Source organism: Homo sapiens, chromosome 9, assembly GCF_000001405.40.
Source record: "Homo sapiens chromosome 9, GRCh38.p14 Primary Assembly".
Lineage (NCBI taxonomy): Eukaryota > Metazoa > Chordata > Mammalia > Primates > Hominidae > Homo > Homo sapiens.
In genome coordinates this window covers 66,924,643-66,940,409 of record NC_000009.12, presented here as the reverse complement: position 1 = coordinate 66,940,409, position 15,767 = coordinate 66,924,643, and the positions used below count along the sequence as shown (strand labels likewise).

General features: G+C 37.4%; 1 protein-coding gene across 1 annotated transcript in view; it reads right to left on the bottom strand.

Moving 5' to 3' along the window:
- Positions 1-8,268: 8,268 nt before the first annotated feature.
- ZNF658 (zinc finger protein 658) overlaps positions 8,269-15,767 on the bottom strand; it is a 31,417-nt gene continuing 23,918 nt past the window's right edge. The window contains exon 6 of the transcript NR_134255.1: positions 8,269-8,385. The gene's annotated coding sequence lies outside the window, so the exon portion shown is untranslated. The remainder of the gene's footprint in view (positions 8,386-15,767) is intronic.

Here is a 15,767-nt window from a genome sequence, read left to right as displayed (position 1 = left end):
AGTGATGTTGATAAGGGAGCTGCTGCTATGAGTACTGTTTCCAAATGTGATGTTGCTAAGAGCCAATTGCTAAGGGTACTCTAGCTAAATACATTGTTAATAAGGACATTGCTGCAAATAGTGCTGCTCACAGAGTTGTTGTTAATGGTGCTGTTTCTAAGGACACTGTTGATACTGCACCAATGCTAAGGGCCTGGTTGTTCATGGCATTTTTATTAAAGGCAGTTATAATAATGAGGTTGTTTTTAAGGTGTTGATGCCAAGAGTATTGTTTCTAAAGATATTTTTGCTAAGCATGCTCTTGCTGATGGCCTTGTTTTATAGCCACTGTTTCTATGGGAAATGATACTAAAGGTGTTATTGCTTAGGGCATTGTTGCTATGGTTGGTAGCCAAGAAAGGTTTTGCTAAATTGGCTTTTTTCCAAGGGTGCTGTGCAAAGGTTGTTAAGTACTGTGGTAAGGAAAATATTATTATGAATATTATTGTTAAGGCCATTGCCTATAAGAGTTGCTAAAGGACATTGTGAGTCCTTTATCCTATATAAATATAAAGGATATTTATATTAAGCACATTGTCACTGAGGAACTTGCTGCTAGGTGTTTTGTTGATGTGGCCTATTGTTGCTAAGGATATTGTCACTCTGACAATGATATTAGGGGCATTGTAGCTAAGGACATTGACATTAAGGCTCTGTTACTAAGACTCATTTTTGCTAAGGGTATTTTTGCTAAGGATGTTGTTATTAAGTACATTTTTGCTAGAGCATTCTTGTTCAGTGTGTTGTTGCTAAAGGGCTAGTTGCTAGAAGCACTTTTCCTAGAATAATTGTTGCAAAGAGCATTCATGCTAAAATGTTGATCCTAAGACCACTGTTTCTAAGAAACTCATTTGAAGGGCACTGTCACTGTGAGTGTCGTTGCTAAGGTTGTTGTTGTAAAGTCCTTTATGGCTAAGGGCATTGTTACTATGTTCATTATTGTTAAGTGTATTACAGTAAAGAGGCATTGCTACTAAATACACTGCTGTTAATGACTCTATTGCTCAGGGACTTAATCCTAAGGGTATTGTTGCAAAGAGAGTTAAGGATGTTGATGTTAAGGTATTGTTTGAAAGTGTGCTGTTGGCCGGGCACGCTGGCTCATGCCTGTAATCCCAGCACTCTGGAAGGCCGAGGCCGGTGGATCACTTGAGGTCAGGAGTTTGAGACCAGCCTGACCAGCCAACATGGTGAAACCCCATCTCTACTAAAATTACAAAATCAGCTGGGCGTAGTGGTGCACACCTGTAATCCCGGCTTCTTGGGAGGCTGAGGCAGGAGAATGGCTTAAACCTGGGAGGCGGAGGTTACAGTGAGCCGAGATCACGCCATTGCACTCCAGCCTGGGCAACAAGAAGGAAACTCTGTCAAAAAGAATAAAGTGTGCCGTTATTAGAATCATTTTGGCTAAGGGGTATTGGTTTGAATGGTGGTATTGCTAAGGGGACTGATGCCAAAGGCACTCTTAGTAAGTGCAACTGTCGCTGAGGTTGATGTTCCAAAAGGCATTGATGTTAAGGACATTGTTGCTAAGCCTGTTTTTTAAAGTGTGCTGCTGTTATGGGTATTGTTGTTAAGGGTGTTGTAAGAGAAATCATTGCTGAGTACCACTGCTGCTGAGAGCATTGCCACTAAGATCTAATATTGCCAAGGACAGTGCTGCTAAGGCCGTTTAACTTAAATGCATTTTAGTAAAGGCATTGTTCCCAAGACTATTGTTAGGGGCTGTTACGAAGGAACTGTGTTAAAGATATTATTGTTATAGTCGTTAAATCTAAGAGTTTTGATGTTAAGGGCCCTGATGCTAGAAATACGTTTAGATAATTTTTACTACAACTCATTATGGCTAAGAATGTTGATGTTAGGTACATTATTGCAAGGCACTTTTGTAAAGTGTCTTGTTGCTAAAGTGATTATTGCTAAAGGCACTGTTGCTAAGGGGACTGTTTCTTAGTGAATCCATAAGAGCTTTGTTGCTAAGGGCCATTTTTGCTAAGAACATTGTTTCTAAGGGTGTTGAAGTTAAACACGTTATTACTGAAAGCACTGTGGTAAAGGCATCTTACCTAAGGGTTTACTGCTAATAGCACTGTTACTCAAGGAACTGAGGCTAAGGGCATTGTTGCTGACGGGGTTGTTATTAAGGGCATTTGTTATGAAAGGTCATTGTGTCTAAGTACAATTGTTTCTAAGGACATTGTTTGAAGGGCATTATTTCAAGGGTCATTGTTGCTAAGAGCATTAATGTCACCGACAGTGTTGTTCCTAAGGGAATGTTAGTAAGAGCATTGTTTCTAAGAGTATTGTTACAAAAGGACTCTTGCTAAGGACATTGTTGCAAATACATTTTGGTAAAGGCATTGTTCCTAAAGGGATTCTGGCTAAGGACACTGTTACAAGGGGCATCTTTTATAAGGGCATTGTTGCTAAAGTTGATTTTACCAAAGGCCATTTTAGCTAAAGGCACTGTTGCTAAGTACACTGTTGTCAAGGATGTTGTTGCTAAGGGTGCTGTTGTTAAGAGCATTATGTTCTAAAGGATCCGTTGCTAAGGGAATTGATGATAATTGCGTTGTTTCTTTTTTCTTTTCTTTTCTTTTCTTTTTTTTTTTTTTTTTTAGATGGATTCTCCCTCTGTTGCCCAGGCTGGAGTGTGGTGGCATGATCTCAGCTCACTGCAACCTCTGCCTCCCGGGTTCAAGTGATTCTCCTGCCTCAGCCTCCCGAGTAGCTGGGATTACAGGCGTGCACCACCATGCTCAGCTAATTCTTGTATTTTTGGTAGAGATGGGGTTTCATCATGTTGGCCAGGCTGGTCTCAAACTCCTGACATCAAGTGATCCACCCACCTCAGCCTCCCAATGTGCTTGGGATTACAGGCATGAGCCACGTTGCCCGGCCTGTAGTTGCATTGTTTCTAAGGGCCTTTGTTAAGGCACTATGCTAATGTTTTTGCTAAAAGTCATTGTTACAAAAGCTGTGGTTACTAATGATGTTGCTGCCATGGAACACGTGCCTAAGGGCGATATTTCAATTGGCATCGATAGTAAGGTCACTGTTGCTAAGGAAGTTATTTCTAAGTGCATTGTTCCTGGAGCCATTGTAGTTATGGGTGATGTTCATAAGAGAACTGTTGAAGGTCATTGTGGCTAAAGGCATTATTACTATTGCTAGTGTTTCTCATGATGCTGTTTCTACCAGCACTGATCCTAAATCTCGTGTTGCTAAGAGTATTGTTACTGAGGGTATTACTGCTAAGTATGTTGTTGCTTAGGGTACTATTGCTTAGAATGTTTTTGTATATTATTGTTAAGGACACTGTTTCTAAGATCATTGTTCCTAGGGTGTTAATGTTGGCAAGGGACATTTTTGCTGAAGGCATTGTGACTAAAGGCATTGTTGTTACAGGTATTTTCTTCAAAGGGCATTGTTGGGAAGGGGACATTTCTAGAGTCACTCTTGCTAAAGACTGTTGCTAAGACCATTTTACTAAGGTCAATGCTAACAGCATTATTACCAAGGCTTTATTTTTATGGCTCACTGTTGGTTGCTAAAGTCATTGCTTCTAAGGGCCAAGAGGGCTGTTGTCAAGAATGCTGGTCTTAGGGGATTTTTGCTAATAGTAATATTGTTAGGACATTGTTGCAAAGAGTGTGGTTGCTAAGGGCCATTGTTTATAAGGTAAACAATGGTAAACTCTTGGTAAGGCAAGTTTGGATAAGAGCACTGTTGCTAAGGGCACTGGTTATAGGGGTGATGCGCATGATTTTTTTACTAAGGACATTATTAAGAATGTCATTTCTAAGGTCAGTTGTTTACCCCTTTCTTGCTAATGGTACTGATGTTAAGAGTGTTGATTCTATGAGTATTACCATTCAGAGCATTTCTCCAGGAGCCATTGTTGCTAAGTTCATTGATATTATGTATTTTGTAGCTAGGGCATTGCTGTAAAGTGTGCTGTTACCAACAACACTGTTGCTGATGTCATTATTGCTAAGGAGTTGATACTAAAAGCATTTTTACTAAGGTGCCATTGGTAAGAGTGCTGTTGTTAATGCCACTATAAAGGACATTTTTGTAAGGGCATTGTTGCTAATTGCTTTATTTCTAATTTTGTTATTGCTAAGGGCCATGGTTTTTGAAGGTATTATTTCTAAGGGTATTTTTGCTAAGATACACTAACAGGCCATGGTTTGCCCATTTCCAAAGTACCATGGCAATTTATAGAGGTAAATGGACATACCATTGTTCCTAAGGGCATTGTTGCTATGGACATTGATTTTAAAGACATTGTTGCCAACGGCATTGTTGCAATTGGCATAATTCCCACTATTTCTACAGGCAATTATGCTAAGGCTGTTGTTGCTTAGAGATTTGTCAGTAAGGTGCACCATTGCTAATGATGTTGCTGCTAAGGACATTGTTGTTAGGGGCCATTGTTGTTATGTTATGAGTGTTGTCTCTAGGGTCATTGTTCCTAAGGGCCATTTTTGTTAAGGGTCTTGATGCTAAAGGCCATTTTTTTAAAGGACATTTTGGTAAAGGTATTCATTTCAAGCTATTTGTTGCTAAGGTCATTGTTGTTTGGGGTGGTTGTTAAGGTCCATGATTGCTAATGTAAGATATTGCTTCTAGGAGTGTTAATGTCAGTCAAAGGTGTTGCTAAGAGCAACTGTGGCAAATAGTGTTATAGCTGAGGGCATTTTTCTAATGTTACTGTTGCTTAGATTATGTTGCCAAGAGTCTTTTGGCTAAAAGGGTTAATATTAACAATGTTGTCTTAAAGCATTATTCCTGATGGTGTCTATGCTAAGGGTATTGTTGCTATGGGATTTGTTGCTAAGGGCCATTATTAACAAGTCATTGTTGTGATAGGCATATTTTTAAAGGTGTTGGTGCTAAGGGCAATTGTTCTTAAGGATGTTTTTGCCAAGGGCATTAGTGGTAAAAAATTGTTGCGAAAGCCATTTTTTTCTAAGTGGGTTGGTCCTAATGTATCCCACACCATGAAATCACTACCTCACTACTCTTCACCTCTCCCACTCCATACACCATATTTCCTTGTATCAGACACCTGCTGACATCACCAGTATAGGATCTTATTAGAACAAATGAGGCAAGTAGAGCAAAGTGGGCATCTCTCAGGGAACAAGAGTGTCCAGTGCAAAGTATCAGCCCATTCCAACCTTAGGACAGGTGCCAGGCTGATTAGGGGCCTCAGGTTTGAGCTAGTGACCCTGACCCTTTAAGCTCTGAGAACTTAAAGCTGGCTGAGCTCCAACCCTAAATGTTTTGTCCTATGAGTCATTATCTGTGAGCTATTTTTAAAAATATTTTGGACTTCATCTATGTTTTTCCCCTAATGTGTTTGAATTTTGTGGGGACTCTAGTGGAAACAGAGGAAGTCATTGATTGTTCTTAAATCTTAAATGCATCTTTCCAACCTGTCAATGCACATAACTTAATCAGGTCTATGTTCATGCATAAGATAGTTCCATACATGAAGCATCTCACACTTCAATATGCTCTCTATATACAATATTTTTCCACTTAAAATATCCACTAGGTTGAGTGAGGACATCGATAGCCAGATTTTCACATATATTTGAAAAAAAGAGAGGTAAGAAAACTCAAAAATATCTGTAAAAGAAACAAACACATTTGGAGCACGTGCCTTACTACCAATCAAGGTTTTTGAAAGCCAGACTCATCAAGACAGTGGTATAGGCACAGTGAGAGACAAAGTAGCTCACAGGAAAAGACCAGAGGCCCATAATCATACTTAGCATTTATATCCACATGGTGTCTTACAGAGGGGACACACACATCAGTGAGGAGAGAAAATGTAATTTAGGATTAGCATACTTGGTGATTAACTGGTTTAAAAAAAATGTGTAATTGTTAAATTAAAAATATAAATAACAAATTTTTCAATAGCAAACTCAAATGCTATGAACTTAGGGGTAAATTTCACCAAAGATAAAAAGTATTTTATAGTCCCCTCACTATTGTAAGAAATTTAACCTACCCTGGGAGATGAATACTATGGTTTCACCATTTTAAAGGTGAACTTATTCATAAGAGAAAAAAAATAAAAGCAAATAAATGGAGATTTATACTGCAAATATCAATAGGAAAAGTTGAAATCATAAAAAATATCAATTCCACCCAAATTGTCAATGTTAATTCCAGCCAAAACCTCAACCAGATTTCCTAATGTCCTTCATAAGCTGATGCAAAATTAATATGAAAAAATAAACCTCACACCAAAGAAAACCAAAGACACTCTCATGCAGTAATAACATAAGAGAAATTATCTACTGGACCTTACAATTTATGATGAAAATAAATTAATTAAGATAGCTTTGTATTGGAAAAAATAGAGACAAGCCAATGAAACTGAAGAAACAAAATGGAAACAGATACCTATGAGAAAGTGGAAACAGCAGGGCAATTTAGAAAGATGACTATTTTAAAAGCTGTCATGGCCGGGCGCTGTGGCTCACGCCTGTAATCCCAGCACTTTGAGAGGTGGAGGCGGGCAGATCACTCGGGCGGATCACTTGAGGTCAGGAATTCAAGACCAGCCTGACCAACATGGTGAAACCCCCTCTCTACTAAAAATACAAAAAACTAGCCTGGCGTGGTGGTGGGCACCTGTAATCCCAGCTACTTGGGAGGCAGAGGCAGGAGAATCGCTTGAACCCGGGAGGCGGAGGTTGCAGTGAGCCAAGATCACACCATTGCACTCCAGCCTGGGTGACAGAGCGAGACTCCATCTCAAAATAAATAAATAAATAAATAAATAAATAAATAAAATAAAAGCAGTTAAACCATTCAGATATCCATATTGAAACATTGTGGATCCGTACTTACGCCTTACACTAAATTCATCCCAGTGGGATTAAAAACTTAAATTTGAAACAAAATATGTGAGTCATTTAGTAAAAAGAATAAGAGAATTTTCTTATGAATACTGTCTGAAACAAAACCACAATAGGAAAAGATAATTTAACTCTTCCACATTGAAAAGAAAAAAATCTCTCTTTTTTTTTTTTTTTGAATGGAGTCTTGCTCTGTCACCCAGGCTGGACTGCAGTGGCGCAATCTCGGTTCACTGCAAGCCCAGACCCCGGGTTCACGCCATTCTCCTGCCTCAGCCTCTTGAGTAGCTGGTACTACAGGTGCCTGCCACCACGCCCGGCTAATTTTTTGTATTTTTATTAGAGAGGGGGTTTCACCGTGTTAGCCAGGATGGTCTCGATCTCCTGACCTAGTGATCCGCCCGCCTTGGCCTTCCAAAATGCTGGGATTACAGGCGTGAGCCACCGCGGCCGGCCAGAAAGAAAAAACATCTTAAAGAAAACCTAACAAAGTGACAACCAATCTTCAGACTGGTAGAAAGTATTTGCAATGTACAGATGCCACAAAAAATACCCAGAAAATATAAGGAATTTCTAGTATCAGGAGTATATTTTATTGATTGCCTTGAATGCTCAATAAGATCAAGAAACATGGAAATTTATAAAACTAAATGAAAATTCATTCTATATTCTTGAATACTATAATTCACTGAATTATGTATATAGTAATATGTAAGATAATAATATATAACTCATGATTTTAAGCTTTTCCATTTTCTTTTCTTTTTTTTTTTAAGACGGAGTCTCACTCTGTCGCCCAGGCTGGAGTGCTGTGGCACGATCTCGGCTCACTGCAAGCTCCGCCTCCCGGGTTCACGCCATTCTCCTGCCTCAGCCTCCCCAGTAGCTGGGACTACAGGCACCAGCCACCGCGCCCAGCTAATTTTTTTTATTTTTAGTAGAGACGGGGTTTCACCATATTAGCCAGGATGGTCTGGATCTCCTGACCTCGTGATCCGCCTGCCTTTGCCTCCCAAAGTGCTGGGATTACAGGCGTGAGCCACTGCACCCAGCCTCCATTTTCAAATTGATAGATATATTCAGTGCATTTCCCCTAAAAATTTTCACTGTGTTTTTTGAGTATTTAAACAACTATTAATAATTCTTAACTTCGTACAAAAAAAGTCAAAGGCCGAAGAATTGAAAACAAATCTGTAGAATAAAAATAATAATAATAAGATGTAAGGAACTGCCGTACACCAATCAAAATCCATAATGTTAGCCTTCAAGACAGCATGGGGCAAATCTCCTGATAAATGAAATAGCCCAAAGGAAAAAAAATAGAAGTCCAGTAAATGACTCAGAATTGAGTCAATAGACATTTATGGCAGATGGAGCACTGTACATCAGTGGGGAGACATAAATACATAGGACTGGGGCACTTGCTCTTCCAAATTCTTCATGACTCCCTCTTCATTGAGCCCTGAGGGAAATGGAGAGAGAGAAAAGTAAGTCGGGGACAGGTGAGACCATTCACTCCCAGATGCACCTCTATTTCCACATCTTCAACTTAGCCTCATTAAGTGATTTTGTAAACAAGCTGAGAATACCAGATGGCTATGGTTCACTTTGTTTGTGTATCTCCCCAATGCCAATGTGACTGCTTCAATAGACTATGTCACAGATATGTTGCTTGTAATATTTGACATGATGTGAGTTTTTATTCAAGTTAAGCAACAGCCATGAGAGACAAGCACAGAGAGCCTATCCATGTGTTTCTGACAAAGGTTCCTTTTTTATTGTTTTATGTTTATCAAGAGATTTCTTTTGACACATGTACTTTTTAAAATTTTTTATTTTGAAATAATTGTAGATTCACATGAAGTTGCAAAAAGAAAAAAAGGTACGCAAAGGTCCCTTATACATTTCACCAAGCGTAGGATTATTGTTGAGAATATGATAAATCGCACATTCAGCCTACATAGATAAATGTTCTATGGTTCTACTAGATATATGGTTCTACATAGATAAACGTTCCCAGGTCTCTGGGGCTCTCTCTTACAGAGAGGCTAAGCATGTTTTCTAACACAATATGCTAGACATAGCTGCAGTATTAGTCATTCAATTATTAAACTTAATAAAACTTCAAAAAATATTGTATGGCATATGTGTGTATGTCTGTGTGTGTATACACACAGACACACACACACACAAATGCAAAAGACTAATACTCTATTGTACCAAATTATGTTTAAAGAATTCAAGAGAAGCAACCCCTGTGTAGACAACAGATGCCCAGATTGTTCGTATGTTTCAAGGATATGTGAAGGAGTTTGACGACTGCTTTCTCATTTGGAGAGAAATTAAGCTGACTCTTGCAGTGACTTATTCTACATTAGTTTGTAGATCTCGGTGATTCAATTGCCTCTTCTGACAATTTTCTTTCTCAGAGAACCCCAATAATCATTTCTCATGTGCTTAACTATCCCCAGGATCTTCCTATATAAAAGCCATTCTCTATCAAATCTTTATACTTAAGGAAAGTTTGAGTACAGAGTACAGTCCAGTGGGGCCAGTGTTTTCCAGCCAGGTCCTATGGCCAAAACTTTCTACAATGGCATCTTAAATGCAATTAGCAGAAGGCTGATACCTCCAGAAGTAACAACCAAGTTGCTCACTTAGAGTTTCAGGAAGTCAGAGTTCATTTGTGGGCAAAGGATGCAGGTTACAGATATTGCTCTTATAGGTTAAGAAAAGGAAAGAAAACCCAGCAAAGTCAACCATCTTTCTGGAAATGTTGAAAAAATGTGAGAAAATTCCATTTTTTTTTTGAGACGGAGTCTTGCTCTGTTGTATTTTTTTAGTAGAGACGGCATTTCACCATGTTGACCAGAATGGTCTCGATCTCTTGACCTTGTGATCTGGTTGCCTCGGCCTCCCAAAGTTCTGGGATTACAGGCGTGAGCCACCATGCCGGGCTGAAAATTCCATTAAATTTTAACTGTAGAGCTTCTTGCTCACCCCTAGGAGTTAGAAACTTGAGAAGGCAAGCTCATCCAGAGTTGGACAAGTCCCAGCTTTAAATAGAGTCTCAGGGAATGAGGTCAAGTCTTTGCTGGGGGTCTTGTAGATGCTACACATGCAGGTCACTATTCTGAGTGGAGGGTTTTCTAGCACCTAGTGTTTGTGACACTCTTGTTGGAAACAAGTTGGAAAAAAGAGATCTCTGTAAAATTTGAGGGAGCTAAGTCTAAATCTGACTCATAAACCCATCAGAAGCAGCTACCTTGTGAATTTAAACAGCTCTGGGAGAAATTGTGTGAATGGAAAAATAATTCCAAGTTGTTGAGTCTAAGATCACTGTCTTGAGCCCTGGGTTAGATATAGACATACAAGGTAAATGATGTAGAAAGAGAAACTCTAAGCTGGTCATGGTGGTTCACGCCTGTAATCCCAGCACTTTGGGAGGCCAAGGCGGGTGGATCACCTGATCGTCAGGAGTTCAAGACCAGCCTGACCAATATGGTGAAACCCCGTCTCTATTAAAATTACAAAAATTAGCTGGGCGTGGTGGCGGGCACTTGTAGTCCCAGCTACTCAGGAGGCTGAGGCAGGAGAATCGCTTGAACCCGGGAGGCGAAGGTTGCAGCGAGCCGAGATCATGCCACTGCACTCCAGCCCGGGCAACAGAGCAAGACTCCGTCTAAAAAAAAAAAAAAAAGAAAGAAAAGAAAAAGAAAAAGCAACTCTAAACTGTTAATATCTGAGTTAGCTCAATTCTTCAAGGTTCAGGAAGATTTAAAGAATCACTTTTACTTTAAGGGTTAAAATAAAAAGATTCCTGAAGAGTTTTGTCATAATCCCATTAGTTACCTGCATAGTTTCCTAGCTTAAGACCTGGGGGAAAAATTGACTCAAATCTAAACTATCTTTAGATTAGGAGCATTAAAGAACCTGCATCCTGGAAGAAACATTCCAGACACAGTTGGACAAATAATTCAATAGCTGTCTACAAGGCTGTCTATACATTTTAGGGAATCCTTCAGTGCTTAAGAGACAAATCTCACTTATTCCTCAGTCCCTTAACAGCTTTAAGAAGAATTCTCAATTTCCCCGTGCCTGCAATGGCTCTGTGTGGTAGCACAGGTAATGCCTAGGAGGAGAAGCTTGGAAAATTGTAAGACCTGGGGGTTATAAGCTTCATAATTTGTTCAGACATCCCATGATATTTTCCTGCTGCTCCAATCAAGGTTAGTGTTCAGGGTCGGACTGCAGGATCATTTCTGAGATCAAAAGGCAAAGCAAGGGAAGGGCAATGCAGTTGCAATTTGTGCAAGAAGTTAAAAAGAGAAATTTATTCTCAAGCAAAATGATTTTTCATTTATTCATTTTTACTGAGTTTAAACAGATTTTTGGGCAAGTTTAGCTATCACAGCTGTGATTGTCACACCCCTCTGTCTCTGTCTGAGGCCCTGGAAAAGAAAGTAACAGAGTGGGTTTAACATGTATTGCCAATTTCTCATTCCTAAGAGAAGTGAGGTATAATTGGCATACAATTAACTGCACATATTTAAGGTGTACAGTGTGATAGTATTTGACACGTGTAAAACACAGGAAACTATCATTAAAAGTCAAGAATTAATATCTGTCACCCCAAAATGTTCCTGTTGCCCTTTGGCAAGCCTTCTCTTCCACTCCTCTCTATCAAACCAGGGTAGAAGGGTCTTACATGTTTTGTTGCTCAAATTTATCCCTAAGTATTTGATATTTTGCTGCTATTGTAAATCTCCTGGCTATTTTTTTTTTTTTTTGTATTTTTAGTAGAGATGGGGTTTCACCGTGTTAGCCAGGATGGTCTCCATCTCCTGACCTCGTGATCTGTCCGCGTTGGCCTCCCAAAGTGCTGGGATTACAGGTATGAGCCACCGTGTATGGCCTATAAATCATAATTTTAAAATACAATTTCTGATTGTTCATTGCTAGTATAAGGAAGAAACTTTGTATAGTCGTATTCTATCCTTCAACTTTGCTTAACTAATTTGTTAGTACTAGTAGCTTTATCAGCTTATTAGTTAATAATAATTAGTAGCATATTAATTTCTGATAGTTTTTGTGTAGATTCCACAAAACTTCCTGTCATGTTACCTGAGAAACAGAAACAATTTTGCTTTTTTTCCAATTCACCTGTGTGTTTTTCTCTTTTCTTTTGGCTTTATTGCCTCAATTACAATGTTGAATAGAAGTGGTAAGAGCTGACATTCTCATCTCATTCCTGATCTCAGGAGGAAAGCATTCAGTCTTTCAACATTAAGCGTGACATTACCTGTAGGTTTTTTGTAAATTACCTTAATCAGGTTGAAGAAGTTTCCTGCTAGTGCCAGTTTGCTGAGAGTTATTTTCTTCTGATTATACTGAGATAAGATCTTTTCTTTTTTAATTTCTCAATTTGGTGAACTACAGTGCTTGATTTTTAAAATTTTTATTTTATTGTGGTAAGAATATAACATGAGATCTACTCTCTTATGAGATTTTTCAGTATACAATAAAATATGGTTAACTATAGGCACAGTATTATACAGCAGATCTCTAAAGCTAATTCATCTTGCATTAATGAAATTTTATACCCATTGATAAGCAACTCCTCACTTCCCTTTCACTCCCGTCCTGGCAACCACCATTCCACTCTTTGATTCTATGAATTGTACTGTTAATATTTTCACTATCTAAGATAAGCAAATTATACGGGATTTGTCTTTCTGTGATTGGCTTATTTCACTTGGAATAATATCCTCAAGGTTTATTCATGTTGTGCATATTGCAGAATTTCTTTTTTAATGCTGAATAGTATTTCCATTGTATGTCTATACCACATTTGCTTTATGAATTTATCTGTTAATGGACATTAATGTTGTTTCTACATCTGAGCTATTACGAATAGTGTTGCAATGAACATAGGAATGGTAATATTACTTCAAGATCCTGATTTCAATTCTTTTGGATAAATACCCAGAAGTGGGATTATTGGAGCAATATAATGGCTCTGTTTTTAACTTTTTGAAGAACGTTCATTCTTTTTTCCCATAGTAAATGCACCATCGTGTATTCCCACAAACAATGTACAAGGGTTCCCTTTCTCCACATCCCTTCCAACACTTGTCTTTTTTTTAAATAATCATCATCCTGACAGGTGTGAGGAAATATTTCATTGTGGTTTTGATTTACATTTTTCTGATGATTAGTAACACTGAGCATCTTTTCATATACCTGTGGGTATTTCTCTTCTTTGGAAAAATGTCTATTCAAGTCCTTTGCTCATTTAAAAAATCAGATTGTTAGTTTTATCTACTGAGTTGTTTGAGTTCCTGACGTATTTTGGAAATTAATCTTTTTCCCAGTGTTTTCTTATAGAAGCTTTACAGTCTCACCTTGCATTTAAGTTTTTAATCCATTTTGATTTAATTTTTGTGTATGGTATAAGACAAGGATCCAGTTCTACTCTTGCATGGAGATATCCAGTTTTCCCAGCAGCATTTGTTGAAGAGACTGTCCTTTCCTGATTGTGCATTCTTGGCACCCATGTCAAAGATCAATTGACTGTATATACACAGATCTATTTCTTGGCTCCCTATTCTAACCCATTGGTCTTATATGTCTATCTTTATGCTGTTAACATACTATTTTAATTACTATAGCTTTGCAATATATTTTGAAATTAGGAAGTGATGCCTCTAGCCTTGCTCTTTCTTCTCAAGATTGTTTTGGCTATTCAGGGTACTTTCCAATTATATATGAATCTTAGAATTGTTTTTTCTCTGTCTGTAAAAATGCTATTAGGATTTTTATGGAGATTGAATTGAATTTGTAGATTGCTTTGAGTAGTGTAGATATTAAGACTTCCAATCTATGAACACAGTATGTCTTTCCATTTACTTGTGTCCTTTTAAATTTCTTAAATTAATGTTTTGCAGTTTGCAGTGTGTCTTTTACCTCCTTGGCTAAGTTTATTCCTAAGTATTTGATTATTTTTGATAATGTTGTAAATGGGATTGGTTTCCTAATTTTCTTTCAGAGAGTTTATTTTTGGTGTATAGAAATGCAATTGATTTTTACATTTTTTTATCATACTACTTTGCTGAATTGACTTATTAATTCTAACAGTTTTTTGTGGAGTCTTTAGAGTTTTCTGTATATTAGATCATGTTTAAACAGGTACAATTTCACTTCTTCCTTCTGAACTTGATGTATTTTTTGTATTGATCTTGAATAATCATTCTGGGCAGGACTTTCATTACTATGTTGAATAGAAGTGGTAAAAGTGAACATCCCTGTCTTTTTCCTGATATTAGAGGAAAAGCTTTTAGTTTTTTACTTCTGAGTGTGGTGTTAGCTGTGGGATTTTCATATCTGGCCTCAATATGTTGAGGTAACTTCCATCTCTTCCTAGTTTGTTGAGAGTTTCTAACATGAAAAAGTGTCAAATTTTATCAAATTATTATTTTTAAATCTATTGAGATGATTTTGTGATTTTTATCTTTTATTCTATTAACTGTATCCCATTAATTGATTTTCATATGTTGAACCATCCCTGCAACTCAGGGATAAATCCCACTTGGTCATGGTGTATGATCCTATTAATTTGCTGTTAAATTTGGTTTGCAATTATTTTGTTGAGGATCCTTGCATCTATATTAATCAGGGACATAGACCTGTAGTTTTCTTTTTGTAGTGTCTTTTGTCTGTCTTTAAATTCACATAATGCTGGCCTCGTGAAATGAGTTTGGAAATATTCTCTCCTGTTTGATTTTTTGGGAAGGGTTTTAAAATGATTGGTATTAATTCTTCTTTAAATATTTGGTAGACTTCAGCAGCAGAGTCATCAGGTCGGAGGCTTTGCTTTGTTGGGAGTTTTTTTTATTACTGATTTGATCTCCTTATTCACTGTTTGCCTGTTTAAATTTCCTATTTCTTTCATGATGCACTCTTGGTAGGTTGTATGTTTCTAGGAATTTATCCATTTCTTCTAGGTTATTGAGTTTATTGGTGTATTTTTTCTCACAGCAGTTTCTTATGATCTTTGGATTTCTGTGACATCAGTTGCAATGTCTTTTTCATTTCTGTTTTTGTCTTCCTTCTTCTTAGTACACTGTTTGATGTTTAAATGTTAAAACAATTTCACATTCTTAGGATAAGCCCCCTTGGTCCTTGTGTGTTATTCTGTTTACATAATGCTGTAATTTATTTGCTAAAATTGCATTTTTTCAACTAATGTCATGAGAGATATTGTCTCTAGTTTACTTTTCTTGTAATGTCTTTGACATTTATATCAGGGTAATGCTAATTTCATAGAATGAGGTAGGAAATAATTACCTTCTCAAAAATTTTCTATGAAGAGTTCATGTAAAATTAGTATTACTTCTTAAATATTTGATATAATTCACTAGTGAAGCCACCTGGGCCTGGCATTTTCTTTATGTGAAGGTTTTGTAACTACAAATTGTATTTCTCTAACAGATGTAGGGCTATTCAGATTATGTATTTCTTCTTGAGTGAGATATGGTAGTTTGTGTATTTCAAGGAGTTCATCTATTTTATGACAATTGTGGAAATCATTGACATGAAGTTATATATAATATTTTATTATGATTCTTTTAACATCTAAAACCTAAAATCATGTCACCTTTCTCATTCCTGCTACTGGCATTTTTTTCTTCTAATGCCTGATTAATCTGGCTAGATTTATCAGCTTTCTGTTGATTTCTGTTAACATGGTATGTATTTTTTAACCTATTTGTTTCTTTATATATAAAGTGTATTTCTTGTAAGCAGCATAGAATCGGGTCTTCCTAAAAAATTTATATGACAATT